Source organism: Homo sapiens, chromosome 4, assembly GCF_000001405.40.
Source record: "Homo sapiens chromosome 4, GRCh38.p14 Primary Assembly".
Taxonomy (NCBI): domain Eukaryota; kingdom Metazoa; phylum Chordata; class Mammalia; order Primates; family Hominidae; genus Homo; species Homo sapiens.
Genome location: NC_000004.12, coordinates 17528073 through 17542657, shown reverse-complemented (window position 1 = coordinate 17542657; position 14585 = coordinate 17528073). Strand labels below are relative to the sequence as shown.

The following is a 14585-nucleotide window of genomic DNA, read 5'->3' as shown; positions in this document are numbered from 1 at the left end:
CCATAGGCGAGGAAGTGCTCAGATAATGTTGTGGGCATGTCAAAAGAACAGGAGCTGGCTGGAAAGAGCCCTCACCAGCCAAATTTGGGATAATTTGAGTATCAAAATAAATGATGATGGTAATGGAGAGTAAACAATGGAACAAAATAGGAATTCATGAGTCTATAGTGATATAAATGTACGAATCAGTGGGAGAGAAGGGAAAGCTCTTCCCTACAGTAGAATGCCAACCAATAAACTTAGAAGAAATAATGGGATTAGAAAAGGAACCATTTGGCAATCACCACAGTAACAACTGATTCGGGCAGAAAATCATCAATGGATGCTAAAATCATGGTTTGAATGGTGAGAATTTGATGAGAAATATCTCTCAACAAGATACTAACTAATTAAAATGGGAAAAGTAGAAACTACAGTGGAGAAATCTGCCAGTACTACTTCGTAGATGATTAAAGTGAACACCATCCGCAATGGGAGAGAAAAAAATCACACGCTTTCTGTTGAGATGCGCTGAGATGGGCAAAATGTCATCTTGCAGGTATTCTTGCCTAGAAAGCACGTGCCTGAATCTAATCATAAAGAAGCATCAGGGCCAGGTGCAGTGGCTCACGCCTGTAATCCCAGCACTTTGGGAGGCCGAGACGGGCGGATCACGAGGTCAGGAGATCGAGACCATCCTGGCTAACACGGTGAAACCCCGTCTCTACTAAAAATACAAAAATTAGCCGGGCATGGTGGCGCGCGCCTGTAGTCCCAGCTACACGGGAGGCTGAGGCAGGAGAATGGCGTGAACCCGGGAGGCGGAGCTTGCAGTGAGTCGACATCGCGCCACTGCACTCCAGCCTGGGCGACAGAGCGAAACTCCGTCTCAAAAAAAATAAATAAATAAAAGCATCAGGCAAACTCAAATTAAGGGAGATCCAAAAAAGAATGTCCCATGTCATTCAAAAATGTCAGTGTCATAAATGACAAGCACTGAGGGATTGTACTGATATAGAGGAGGCTAAAGAGAAATGAAGACCAAGTGCAACCTGGACCTTGCAGCAGTAGAAAATATTAAAACAACAACAACTATAAAGGACATAAAGGGAACCACTGACAAAACTGGAATAAAATCTGTAGATTAGATAACAGAACTATGCCAGTGTTGATTTCTCAGTTTTCATCATCGTACAGTGGTTGCTGTACATTGTGTTTTAGAAAATATACATGGACATATTTAGGGGTAAAGTGGTAAGATGTCCTTGGCTACTTACTTGCAAATGGTTCAGCAAAAATTTATGCACACAGATGTTTGCACAACACACATAGAGAAAGAAAAAGGAGGGAGACTATGATAAAGCATATGTGATAAAAATTTTAATTAAAAAAAATTTTTTTTTAATTTCTCCATTTTTTGCGGAGACAGGGTCTCACTTTGTTGCCCAGGCTGGCCTCGAGCTCCTGGACTCAAGTGATCCTCCTGCCTCAGCCTCCCAAAGTGCTGGGATTATAGGCATAAGCCACTGAACCTGGCCCAAATGTGATAAAATTTTAACATTTGGAGAATCTAGCTAAAGAATATTTAGGAAATTTTTGTACTCTCTTTGCAACTTCCTCTAAGTTTAAGGTTATGTAAAAGTAAAAAGTTAAAAAAATGCCATGGGAATTAAATGTGATTATACAGGTAAAGCAGATAAAGTGTTTAGCACAGTAGCTGGCACGTGGGAAATACTTTCTGCAAGATAGCTGGTATTACAAAATTTATCGGCCAATATACAACCTTCTACTCTTTTCGGTACATCTGTCCATTGTCTATAGCAGGCGTGCCCAAACCCCAGGCCACACAGACTGGGACTGGTCCGTGGCCTGTTAGGAACCAAATAGACTGCACCGCAGGAGATGAGCTGTGGGCCAGCAAGCATTACTGCCTGAACTCCACCTCCTGTCAGATTAGCGGCCACATTAGATTCTCGCAGGAGCGCCAACCCTATTGTGAGTTGTGCATGTGAGGGACCTAGGTTGCACACTCTTTTTAAGAATCTAATGCCTGATCTGAGGTGGAACAGTTTCATCCTGAAACCATCTAACCCCCAACCCCAACACACAATTTTTCCAATTGTGCATCCTTTTACCATATCATCTAGCAATCACACTTCTTGACATTTATCCAAAGAAGTTGAAAACTTATGACCGCAAAAAAAACTTATGACCACTGCAACCTCCCTGGTGCCAAAAAGGCAGGGGACCGCTGGTCTAAAGAACACATGGGCTTCATCTCTCCTTCCACACTCTGCTTGTCTCCATTTCTGCCTTTGCCTGGCATGCACCCTGTAACCCTCCTGGCCAGCATGAAACATTTTTAGTTGAGCTCTAGTTCCTTTCCCAAGAAACTTTATTCACTAATCCCTATACCAACCTCTTCTTTCCTGAACTTCTGTAAATCCAATTACTAATATAAAAAGTAAGCATTGGCTTATTATCTGTCATAGGTGATTTTTTTTCTTTGTAAGAAGAAAATGGTGAAATACCATACACACCCATTAGAATGGCCAAAATCCAGAAGAGAGATGACACCAAATACTGGTGAGGATGTGGAGCAACAGGAACTCTCATTCATTGCTGGTGGGAATGCAAAATGGTACAGCCACTTTGAAAGACAGTTTGGCAGTTTCTTAAAAAACTAAGATCCTTTTACCATATCATCTAGCAATCACACTTCTTGACATTTATCCAAAGAAGTTGAAAACTTATGACCACAAAAAAACCTGCACAAGGATGTTTATAGCAGCTTTATTCATAATTACTAAAGCTTGGAGGAAAGCAATATGTTCTTCAGTAGATAAATAGATAAATAAACTTTGGTACACACAGACAATGGAATATTATTCAGTGCTAAAAAGAAATGAGCTATCAAGGTACTAAGACATGGAAGAAACATAAATACATTTTACTAAATGAAGGAAGCCAGTCTGAAAAGGCTACACACTGTATAGATACATATATAGGTACATACACACATACTGTACCTACATATGTATAGATATTGCAAAATTCCAACTGGCACATTACAGGCATTAGCCACCACACCTGGCCTATTTTCTAAATAATTTAGGAACAGTTTCTGGGTGCTTAACATCTGTCAAAGAGCAAAAGCCCTAGAAAGATTCCTGTCCTGGCTGGGCGCAGTGGCTCATGCCTGTAATCCCAGCACTTTGGGAGGTTGAGGTGGGCGGATCACCTGAGGTTTGGAGTTTGAGACCAGCCTGACCAAAATAGAGAAACCCCATCTCTACTAAAAATACAAAATTAGCCAGGCGTGGTGGCTCATGCCTGTAATCCCAGCTACTCAGGAGGCTGAGGCAGAAGAATCACTTGAACCCAGGGGGTGGAGGTTGCAGTGAGCCGAGATCGTGCCATTGCACTCCAGCCTGGGCAACAAGAGCGAAACTCTGTAAAAAAAAAAAAAAAAAATCCTGTCCTCATAGAGATGACATTCTCATGGAGAAAGACAGGCAGTATACAGTAAGTATAACACAAATATCAATTATCTAGCATGTTAAAGATAAGCAAAAAGAAAACGTCGAGCAGGGTAGTAAAGATGAACAATAGTGGTAAGGTATAAGGCAGGCTTCACTATTAAACTGGGTTTAATTTGAGGCGAGACTCAAGTTCACAACGCAACCTCAAACCTCCTGAGAAGTCAATTCCCAAAATAGATGGGAAGGCAATTCCTAAAGTTGTGAGAGATGATGTAATCATTTACTTTGTGAGTAAGTGTCTTTTTGCCCTGACAAAGCTTAGAATTAAGTACAAAAATACTTAAAAGAAGCAAAATCAAGGTATTGATATTTTTGATTTTAAAATTTGTACTTCCTTATTATTTTATGTATTGGTGATGAAAGAGAAGCTGGTCTGCTGGTGAAACAGGACAGCCGTATATTTCTAATGATTTGGAATCATGTTTTGCTTATTTATATACAGGGCTGGAATTTTTTTTTTTTTTTTTTTGAGACAGAGTCTCGCCCTGTCGCCCAGGCTAGAGTGCAGTGGTGTGATCTCGGCTGACTGCAACCTCCGCCTCCCAGGTTCAAACAATTCTCCTGCCTCAGCCTCCCGAGTAGCCGGGATTACAGGCGCCTGCCACCACACTCAGCCTTTTTTTTTTTTTTTTTTTTTTTTGTATTTTTAGTAGAGACATGGTTTCACCATGTTGGCTAGGCTGGTCTCAAACTCCTGACCTCGTGATCCGCCCTCCTTGGCCTCCCGAAGTGCTGGGATTACACGCTTGAGCCACTGCACCCAGCCAGAATTTTTAAGATAACTTAAGGTTCACAGCATTTTAACTTTAATTCATTAGACTTAGAAGAATTATTAAATTTTGTCAGTTAATTGAAGTGCATGGAAAATAAATTAAGTTACATAGGCTGTTTCAAGATGTTTATTTAGTACATTCATAAAGGGGACCAAATGGTAAACCAAAGCTTTTAAAAAGAGATCACTAAAATTTGCTAACCTAAAAAACAGAACAATAATATTTATAAGCTTAACTTCAATTTAAGGAGAAACAAATTTTGTGAATGTATAACTTTAATAAATGGAATATTACCTATTTCAATGTATTATTATTATTATTTTCATTTTTGCTGAAAGGCATACAACGTGCTATGTAAAGGGAACTTGAAAAAGTCATGCATTCCCATTCTTTACTTTCTGAAGTAACTAACAGTGTTTTTGCCACAGTTTTGTAAATTCTAACTAACTTGTTAAAGTTTGCCATAGTGATGACTGAGAAAAGAGACGAGGCCTTCATGATGAGGGCTTTAAAGAAACAAAGGCATACTTACAAAACAAGATTTAAAACATCACGATTAATTAATTTTCAAGAAAATTGTTTTCATTACAAGGAATAACCTACTACAGCAAAACCCTGAAGGGTGGGCCTTTAAAATGGTTCAGCTGACTACTCACCATAGGAACACTACTTTTCAAAACTAAAGTAAAATTTTGAGTAGTTTGTTTTGGAGTCAGAAATCACCATTACTGACATAGTTAATAAACAGCTGGTATATCAGGAGCCACCTCTCAGGTGGGCCACTTAAGCTGTGGTACCCAGGGAAGCTTCAACAAGAGTAGACAGAATGACTCGAGGATGGCTCATTTCTCTCTTCAACAGTGCTGAGAACTTTTTTCCTTTCTTTTTTTTTTTAAATATATTTTTATAGAGATGGGGTCTCCCTATGTTGCCCAGGCTGGTCTCAAACTCCTGGGCTCAACTGATCCTCTTGCCTCGGCCTCCCAAAGTGCTGGGATTATATTAATAGACAAACATCTCCTTTTCAATAGAAAGAATCCTTTTGTCCTATTCACTCCCTCCTGCCTCCTACCGCACGGTGGCATAAGCCACCACACCTGGTCTGGTGCTGAGAACTTCTGTGGGCCTCTTACAAACATCTCTCTCTCTCTCTTTTTTTTTTTTTTTTTGATAGAGTCTCACTCTGTTGCCCAAGCTGGAGTACAGTGGTGTGATCTCGACTCACTGAAACCTCTGTCTCCCAGGTTCCAGTGATTCTCCTGCCTCAGCCTCCCGGGTAGCTGGGATTACAGGCACGAACTACCACGCCTGGCTAATTTTTGTATTTTTAGTAGAGACGGGCTTTCACCATGTTAGCCAGGCTGGTCTCGAACTCCTGAGCCTCAGCCTCCCAAAGTACTAGGATTACAAGTGTGTGCGCCTGGCCACATCCCCTTTTCAATAGAAAGAATTCTTTTTGTCCTCTTCACTCCCTCCTTCCTCCTACTCCCTTGAAATCTGTAAGGTTGAGAGAATTGTTATGTTAGAAGAAAAAAATGTATTATATACAATTTATTGTTCCGCAAGAGGTCAATGACAAAAGAAAAATCACTGTGGTTCCAAAGTCATTTGTTAGTGTTGCTTATTATTTTTTCCAAAACAGAAAGCAATAAAGCAAACAATTACATGCCATGTTTTTACATTTGTTTTATTTAACCAAGAACTCAGCCGCGAACATCAGAGAAATGCATATACAATATATTCAGAATATAGTTGAATTGGTGGTTGAAATCCTCACAATATTAAATTGTCAGTGCATGTAACAGCATCTCCAATCACACTGGTAGTCAACTATTACCAAATAGCATTCATGAAAATGCCTAGCTTAGTGCCCGGCATATAGTTAGGTGCTTTATTCACTATAAATCTGGATATATTATATAGCATTAAAAGTCATAACATTTTAGAGAGGGAAAGAAAATTAGAGATTATCTTACGCGACTTGGTTATATTATAAATGAGAAAGCTGTGTTTCTAATTCTTTAACTTGTGAATAAATGTAATGAATAAATGTGAATCTGAAAGAGTCAATCCTTCAACATGGATCCTGAGTGGCTAACTGGGCCTAAGTTTTGAATACAGCCAAGGAGCCATTTGCTTATTAGAGGTCAAACATACACTCTGAGTTCCCCGCAAACCCACACCCTTTTAACTTGGAGACTTTCAGGTCTCACCTGAACCAACCAATCAGAGCTCACCGGCCTTGGCCAATCAGGACTCAGCTATATAAACCAATCAGGGTGCAGCTCTACCAACCAATCAGAACTCAGCTGTGTTGGTCAATCAGAGCTAAGAAAGTTTGAATCCTTTATTTTCATAAGCAGACCTGATTGGGAAGCTGGGGTGGACGTTTTGCTATAAACCTGAACCCTCTCTTTGTTCTCTGGAATGCACTTTTGTTTTACACTGAAGCTGTTTCCTCAGTTTGCAAACTGTTCACTGGAATAAAGTCTCTTTCCTCCAAATTCCTTTTCAGAGAACTTGTGTTCACAAACTGAAGGCTGCATCTCCTCAGTTTACAAACTGTGTCTCCTTGGTTTGCAAGGCTGGGAATAGGGTAGGCACCTACTTCAAATCCTTATACGTTAGGCTAGGTACATCCTTGAAAATCACACGGGTAGAAGGAGGCTGCATCTCTCTGGTTTTCAAACTGTTCATTGGAATAAAGTCTCTTTCCTCCATATTTCTTTTCAGAGAACTTTTGTTCAAAAACCCAAAAACTGGTAATAAGAGCAACTACGTCTCAGAATTTTTATGAGAATGAAAATGAAACAATGCATGTGGGGAAATTAGTAGAAAGCCTAGCATATGGCAAACGCTCTGTTATTGATTGGCCTTATTTTTGTCAAGCTGTGACTATTGCTGACTCATGATTGACACTGCCGTAGAAAAGAAAGTAAGAAACAGAGAGCAGACAACCTAATTTATCTGGCAAGGATTTCATGTGTGTCCTAGTTGCATAGGTTTGTTAAGAAGCTCTACTCTTGGTTTCACAACCCAAACTACCAAAACAAAAGGAAACGAAGAATCATGAGGAAATGAATAGGAGAAATCTTTCACCTGTAGAAATTCATCTAAAATGGGCTCAGGAAGCCGGGCATGGTAGCTCATGCCTGTAATACCAGCAATTTGGGATGCTGAGGTGGGCGGATCATTTGAGGTCAGGAGTTCAAGACCAGCCTGGCCAACATGGTGAAATCCCGTCTCTACAAAGAAATACAGAAAAAAAAAAATTAGCTGGGCATGGTGGTACATGTCTGTGGTCCCAGCTACTTGGGAGGCTGAGGCAAGAGGATTGCTTGAATTCGGGAGATGGAGGTTGCAGTGAGCCAAGATCACACCACTGCACTCCAGCGTGGGTGGCAGAGTGAGACTCCATCTCAAAAAGAAATTAAAATAAAATAAAATAATAAAATAAAATAAAATAAAAACAAAATAAATAAATAAAATGGGCTCAGTAACTTCTCTGAGTTGCTGTGTCCCTCTCCAGTATCACATCAGGAAATCACATTTCACATTTCACCTTTGAGATTCCCTGTGTCTTGCGTAGCCTCCTTCCCCTCTATGACTTCCAGCGATGAACCTGGCTTAATATTTAAGTACTGGAAGTAGGTTAGCACTTCATTCCCAGCAAGTATTTTCTTTTTTCTTTTTTTTTGAGATGGAGTCTTTCTCTGTCACCAGGCTGGAGTGCAGAGGGCGTGATCTCGGCTCACTGCAACCTCAGTCCCCGGGTTCAAACTATTATCCTATCTCAGCCTCCTGAGTAGCTGGGACTACAGGCATGCGCCACCATGCCCAGTTAATTTTTGTATTTTTAGTAGAGATGGGGTTTCACCATCTTGGCCAGGATGGTCTTGATCTCTTGACCTCGTGATCCACCCACCTTGGCTTCCCAAAGTCCTGGATTACAGGCGTGAGCCACAGCGCCCAGCCCCAGCAAGTATTTTCTAAATTGTGATGCTAATCTATTAATAATGATTAATAATTAATACTTTTGTTCATGAGTTTTATATCTAAACATTATGTTCTTTTCATGAATATTGTTAGAACAAGAAATACTGGCATTGAGTAACATTGTTGTGGTGGGTGGAAATCTGTTCCCCAAAGTTGTCTTGGATTATCTGGGTGGACCAAGTATAATCACAAGGGTTCTTTTAAGAGAGAGGCAGAAGGGTCAGAGCCATCATCACCTGTATGATGGAAGCAGAGTCTGGGAATATATAATTGTTGGAAGGAACCATGACTTAGCAAATGCAGGTGGCCTCGGGAAGCTAAAAAAGGCAAAGAAACAAACTTTGTCATAGAGCTTCCAGAAGAAACACAATTCTGCCAATACCTTTTCTCTTCTTTTTCTTTCTTTCTTTTTTTTTTTTTTTTTTTTGAGAGGGGGTCTCATTTTGTTACCCAGACTGGGGTGGAGTGGCATGATCATAACTCACTGTAACCTGGAACTCCTAGGCTCAAGTGATCCTCCTGCTTTAGCCTCCTGAGCAGCTAGGACTATAGAGGCATGCCACCATGACTGGCTAATTTTTAAATTTTTAGTAGATATGGGGGTCACTACTATGTTGCCCAGGCTTGCCTCCATCAATCCTCTTACCTTGGCTTCCCAAAGCGCTGGGATTTCAGGCATGAGACATTGTGCTTGACCTCTGCCATCACCTTGACTTACCCCAGTGTCTTAGTCCATTTTGTGTTGAATACCAAAAACTGGGTAATTTGTAAGGAAAAGAAATTTATTTCTCATAGATCTGAAGGCAGGGGAGTCCAATATCAAGATGCTGGCATCTGATGGGGCCCTTCTTGCTGCATCATAACACAGTGGGAAGCATTACACGATGAGAGAGTGTGAATTAATCCATTCACCAGGGCAGAGCCCTCATGACCTAATCACCTTTTGAAGGTCTTACTTCTCAACAATTTTGAATTAGGGGCCATGTCTAACATATGAACTTTGGGTGACACATCAAAACCATAGCACCCAGTAAGACCCATTTTGGTTTTCTGACCTCTGAAATTCTTAAGATAATAAATGTGTGTTGTTCTGAACCACCAAGTGTGTGGTTATTTGTTTCAGGAACCCTAGGAAAACAATGCAATTGTCTTTTTGGATTATGTTGCACATTTTTGCTAAAGCATGGGTTAGTTCTCATTAACCATCAACCTCTTTGCAGTGACCTTATTTATGATATAGAAAACAGGATTTTTTAAATTGAAGGAGTTAGCATTTTTACTATATGCTTTTGGAAGTGTGAGGAGTTGTTTAATTTACTCTTCATAGTTTCACATTTTTCTTGAAAGAGAGAGAAGTATATTTGTAACATATAACTCTGCTCTGATTTGACATGGAAAGATCCTTGCTATCCAAAAGTCTTGATAAATTGTATATGTTATTAGTTGTATTTTCATTAATGAAAACCACGTATTACTCATTTTTTTTTTGGATGGAGCTTCGCTCTTTTTGCCCAGGCTGAAGGGCAATGGCATGATCTCGGCTCACTGCAACCTCTGCCTCCCAGGTTCAAGCGATTCTCCTGACTCAGCCTCTCAAGTAGCTGGGACTACAGGCGCACTCCACCACGCCTGGCTAATTTTTTGTATTTTTAGTAGAGACAGAGTTTCACCATGTTGGCCAGGCTGGTCTTGAACTCCTGACCTCAGGTGATCCACCCGACTCGGCCTCCCAAAGTGCTGGGATTACAGGCTTGAGCCACCGGCCCTGGCAATTACTCATTTTTTATATTGTGAACATAGAGTAGAACTTCTTTTCACCAGTAACAAATTACTTTTCTTAATTGCAGCTAAAGTTTATTGGCTTTGGCCCCTGCAGTTAGTATTAGTAATATCATATCATTAGCAAGCATACAAATGTATGCATAGGATAATTATTTTTAAAGGGCATATGCAAATTAATCATCATCACATTCTAATTAATGTCATAAAATAATGTTATGACTAACATTTTGACTTTGCATGGACTGGTCGGCTGGAAGGGATAGTGCACTGCAGGCCACTGGACACCTTTGTGAGCCTTAGGAAAAGGCATCCCCTTTAGGAGAAAGCACCTTTGTGGATGAGGCCAGGACAAGCCAGGGGCGCATGGGCTAGTCCCTCACCCCCTATACTTGCACCTCCCTTGGGCGGGGTGCAACCTGCACAGCCACTTGCAGAAATCCTGAGAAGAAGCCTCAAGAGTGATTCAAGGCAATAATCTTGGTGTATTGCAAAAGTGGTGGCCTTGACGTCATATAAATGAGGGCTGAAGTCTTTCTCCATTACTTATTAGCAATGGGGCTGAGCAAGTTCCTTAAATTCTCCAAACCTAAAATTACCCATCTGTTAAAAAAAGATAATGTTATTTATCTTGAATAATTGTCAGAATTAAGGAGAAAGTGTACAGTGCCTGGCCCACACAAGATGGTGACCTCTGAGAGGAAAGAACTCAGTGTTTTTCTGAGCTCTCAAACTACTCTCAACAACAATTAATACAGAAGACTTCTATGACCAAATGTGGGGAATTTCCCTCCATCAACAAATAAGCAATCCGTTTTGCAGCAGACACCAGGTGGGTGTGCTGTAAGTCAGTTCTGACACTATCCATGTGGAGATAGCATCACGTCCCACAGGCTGAGGGCTCAGTCCCCAAAGCTGTCCCTCCTCCCTCAGACACTAGTCGCAAGTCTGGGTTTCTGGAACTTCTGACTGATTGGCCTCAAATTAGCCAAATCCACAACTTCGTCTTTGGGTTTGGCTAATTCGCTGGGGCAGCTCACAGAACTCAGGGAAACACTTCTATTTACTGGTTTATTACAAAGGATATCACAAAGGATACAGATAAAGAGATGCATGGAGCAAGGTATGGGAGAAGGAGCGCGGAGCTTGCATGCTCTCCCTGGGTGCACCTCCCTCCAGGAACCTCCACATACTCAGCCATCTGGAAGCTCTCCAAACCCAGTTCTTTTGGTTTTCTGCCGAGGCTTCATTATGTAGGCATGATTGATTAAGCATTGGCCATTGGTGATCAACTTAACCTTGAGCCCCTCTTTCGTCCCAGAAGTCATGGGTGTGGGTGAGGCTGGAAGTCCCAACCCTCTAATCCTGCCTTGGTCTTTTCCTGTGACCAGCCCCCTTCCTGAAGCTACTATTTATTTACTCATAGAGTGACCAAATTAATTATAGTCAAGATAAAGGAGCTACATTTTCCTCTGTGCATTTGAAAAATAATGCAAGTGAATTTTGTGACCCAGATATTTAATCTCCCTTCTTCCCACCCCCACTCTCAACCTGCTAAATGCCACATAGGAATCTCATTTACAGTATTCCTGAAAGATAGTCTTTCAGACTAAGATTATTACCAGTAACACTATGGTTGCCACCTGCTGGATCATGGTTTAAAGACGTCATAGATACTTCTGAAACACTTTCAAAAGCTATGGACTCTGCCACAGAAAAAATGCACATGCGTACAAAAGCCTGCACTTTGACTTCTTGAAACACATCCGGCTGGGTGCAGTGGCTCATGCCTGTAATCTCAGCACTTTGGGAGGCCGAGGTGGGTGGATTGCCTGAGGTCAAGAGTTCAAGACCAGCCTGGCCAACATAGTGAAACCCCGTCTCTACTAAAAATACAAAAAATTAGCTGGGCATGATGGCGAGCACCTGTAATCCCAGCTACTCGGGAGGCTGAAGCAGCAGAATCGCTTGAACCCGGAAGGCAGAGGTTGCAGTGAGCCAAAATCCTACCATTGCACTCCAGCCTGGGCGACAGAGCAAGACTCTGCCTCAAAAAAAAAAAAAAAGAAACACAACTGTCTTGATTAAAGTCAATCCTAATCTACACTTAGAAGCAAAACTGAATTCACCCTGCCCCCCCTCTTTTTTTTTTTTTGAGACAGAGTTTCACTCTTGGCGTCCAGGCTAGAGTTCAATGGCGTGATCTCAGCTCACTGCAATGTTAGCCTGGGTTCAAGCGATTCTCCTGCCTCAGCCTCCCAAGTAGCTGGGATTACAGGCACCCACCACCACACCCGGCTAATTTTTGTATTTTTAGTAGAGACAGGGTTTCACCATGTTGGCTAGGCTGGTCTTGATCTCCTGACCTCAGGTGATCCGCCCGCCTCAGCCTCCCAAAGTGCTGGGATTACCGGCGTAAGCCACTGCACCCAGCCCACTCTGCTCCCTTCTTGGCATGATGGTCTGCATATGACTGAAGGCAGTGATCAGTTCAAAGGCTATGGTCCTGATGACTTTTTATTTTTATTTTTATTTTTGGAAATAGAGAGAGAGGGTCTCACCATGTTGTCCAGGCTGAACTCCTAGACTCAAGCAGCCCTCCCTCCTTGGCCTCCCAAAGTGCTGGGATTACAGGCATGAGCCACCACACCTGTCCACCGTGCTAACTCTTTGCATAGCTCCATCACAAGCCTTCTCAGTATGAATCATCCCCAGCTGCTGGGAGAATGAAATGTCTGGAGGGCAGAGATTTTTGTCAGTTCACTGCTTTAGTCCCAGCACCTAGATCAGTATCAATACTGTTGAATGAATAAATGTACCAAGATCCTCAGACACTTGTCATATAAACTGTTGTCAGATTTTCTGTATTTATGTTGATTTTAAAAAAACCTGTCAGCAGGACTTTGTGTTCAAACTTGATACGATATTGACATTTCCTCTGGTTTTCAAGACAGCTTGGCAGTCTGTCACTATCTTTTGGATCCGTCTCCTATCACATAACTGTCTCTTCTAGCCATGTGCCATCTGCATCTTTGGTGAGTGACATCAGTCCACTAAATAGTGCTGAAGCTATGCCTGGGATGTGGAAAGAGGGCTGAAAGGGGCAGGTGAGCCCAGCAAGGAATTATAAAGAAGAGAGAGATGACATGAGCACTTCCTGAAGTCACCAAATCAGGTGTCATTTTAGATGGAGCTAATCTGGGGAATTAGATCACTTAAAAAAAAAAATTCCTAGGTTGGGCGTGGTGGCTCATGCCTGTAATCCCGGCCCTTTGGGAGGCTGAGGTGGGTGGATCACTCGAAGTCAGGAGTTTGAGACCAGCCTGACCAACATGGTGAAAACCCATCTCTACTAAAAATACAAAATTATCTGGGCGTGGTGGCACACACCTGTAATTCCAGCTACTTGGGAGGCTGAGGCAGAATTGCTTGAACCCGAGAGGCGGAGGTTGCAGTGAGCTGAGATTGCGCCATTGCACTCCAGCCTGAACAACAGGAGCGAAGCTCTGTTTAAAAAAAAAAAATTCCTTTTCCTTTTTTTTTCTTCAGGTCAGATGGGTAATGTGCAGATGTCATAACAAGGTTCCAGGGTAGCATATCTCACACACGTGCACGAAAACCCAATCGTCATCCTCATGAACTACAAAAGGATCGCATTAGATAACTTTTGCATGACATGAAGATAGGGGACCTGGGAAAAGATTCATCCAAGCTAGCACCATGGGAAAATGAGTTCATAGAGTTGTGTACCTCTGTTAGTCAGGGTTCTCCAGAGGAACAGAGCCAACAGGCTGTGTGTGTGTGTGTGTGTGTGTGTGTGTGTCTGTGTGTGTGTGTAGTGACAGAGAGAAAGAGGGGGATATTTTAAGGAATTGTCTCACGTGACTCAGGAGGCCAGCAATTCCAGGATCTTGAGGCTTGGTGGGCAGGCTGGAGATACAGTGACAGTTGCAGTGTGAGTCCAAAAAGTCTACTGGCAGAATTCTCTCTCCCTCAGGGGAGCGAGGCCTTTTTTCTATTAGGGCCTTCAACTGATTGGATGAGGGAATTCCATCCAGTTACAGATGGTAATCTGTTTTACTCAAAATACACAAATTTAAATGTTAATCTCATCAAAAAATACCTTTGAAAAAACATCTAGAAGTGTTTGACCAAATATCTGGGTACTGTGGTCCATCCAAAGTGACACATAAAATTAATCATTCCAGTGGCACTTAGGAAAACCCAACACAAAACAGCCGAATTTCTCCAACAGGTGATTAAAGCGACATTCTAATCCCATTGAGTACTCACATGCTTCTAAGCCCTCCTTGAAATTTCTTTTTTTTTTTTTTTGAGACAGAGTGTCACTCTGTCACCCAGGCTGGAGTGCAGTGGTGTGATGTTGGCTCACTGCAACCTCCACCTCCCGGGTTCAAGCGATTCTTCTGCCTCAGCCTCCCGAGTAGCTGGGACTACAGGTGCACACCGCCACGGCAGGCTAATTTTTGTATTTTTAGTAGAGACAGGGTTTCAC

General features: G+C 41.9%; 1 non-coding gene across 1 annotated transcript; it reads right to left on the bottom strand.

The window, feature by feature from the left end:
- Positions 1-13617: 13617 nt before the first annotated feature.
- Positions 13618-13721, bottom strand: LOC124900895 (small nucleolar RNA U13). Its single transcript, XR_007058537.1, has one exon. It is a non-coding gene; the product is annotated as a small nucleolar RNA U13 (small nucleolar RNA).
- Positions 13722-14585: the final 864 nt, after the last annotated feature.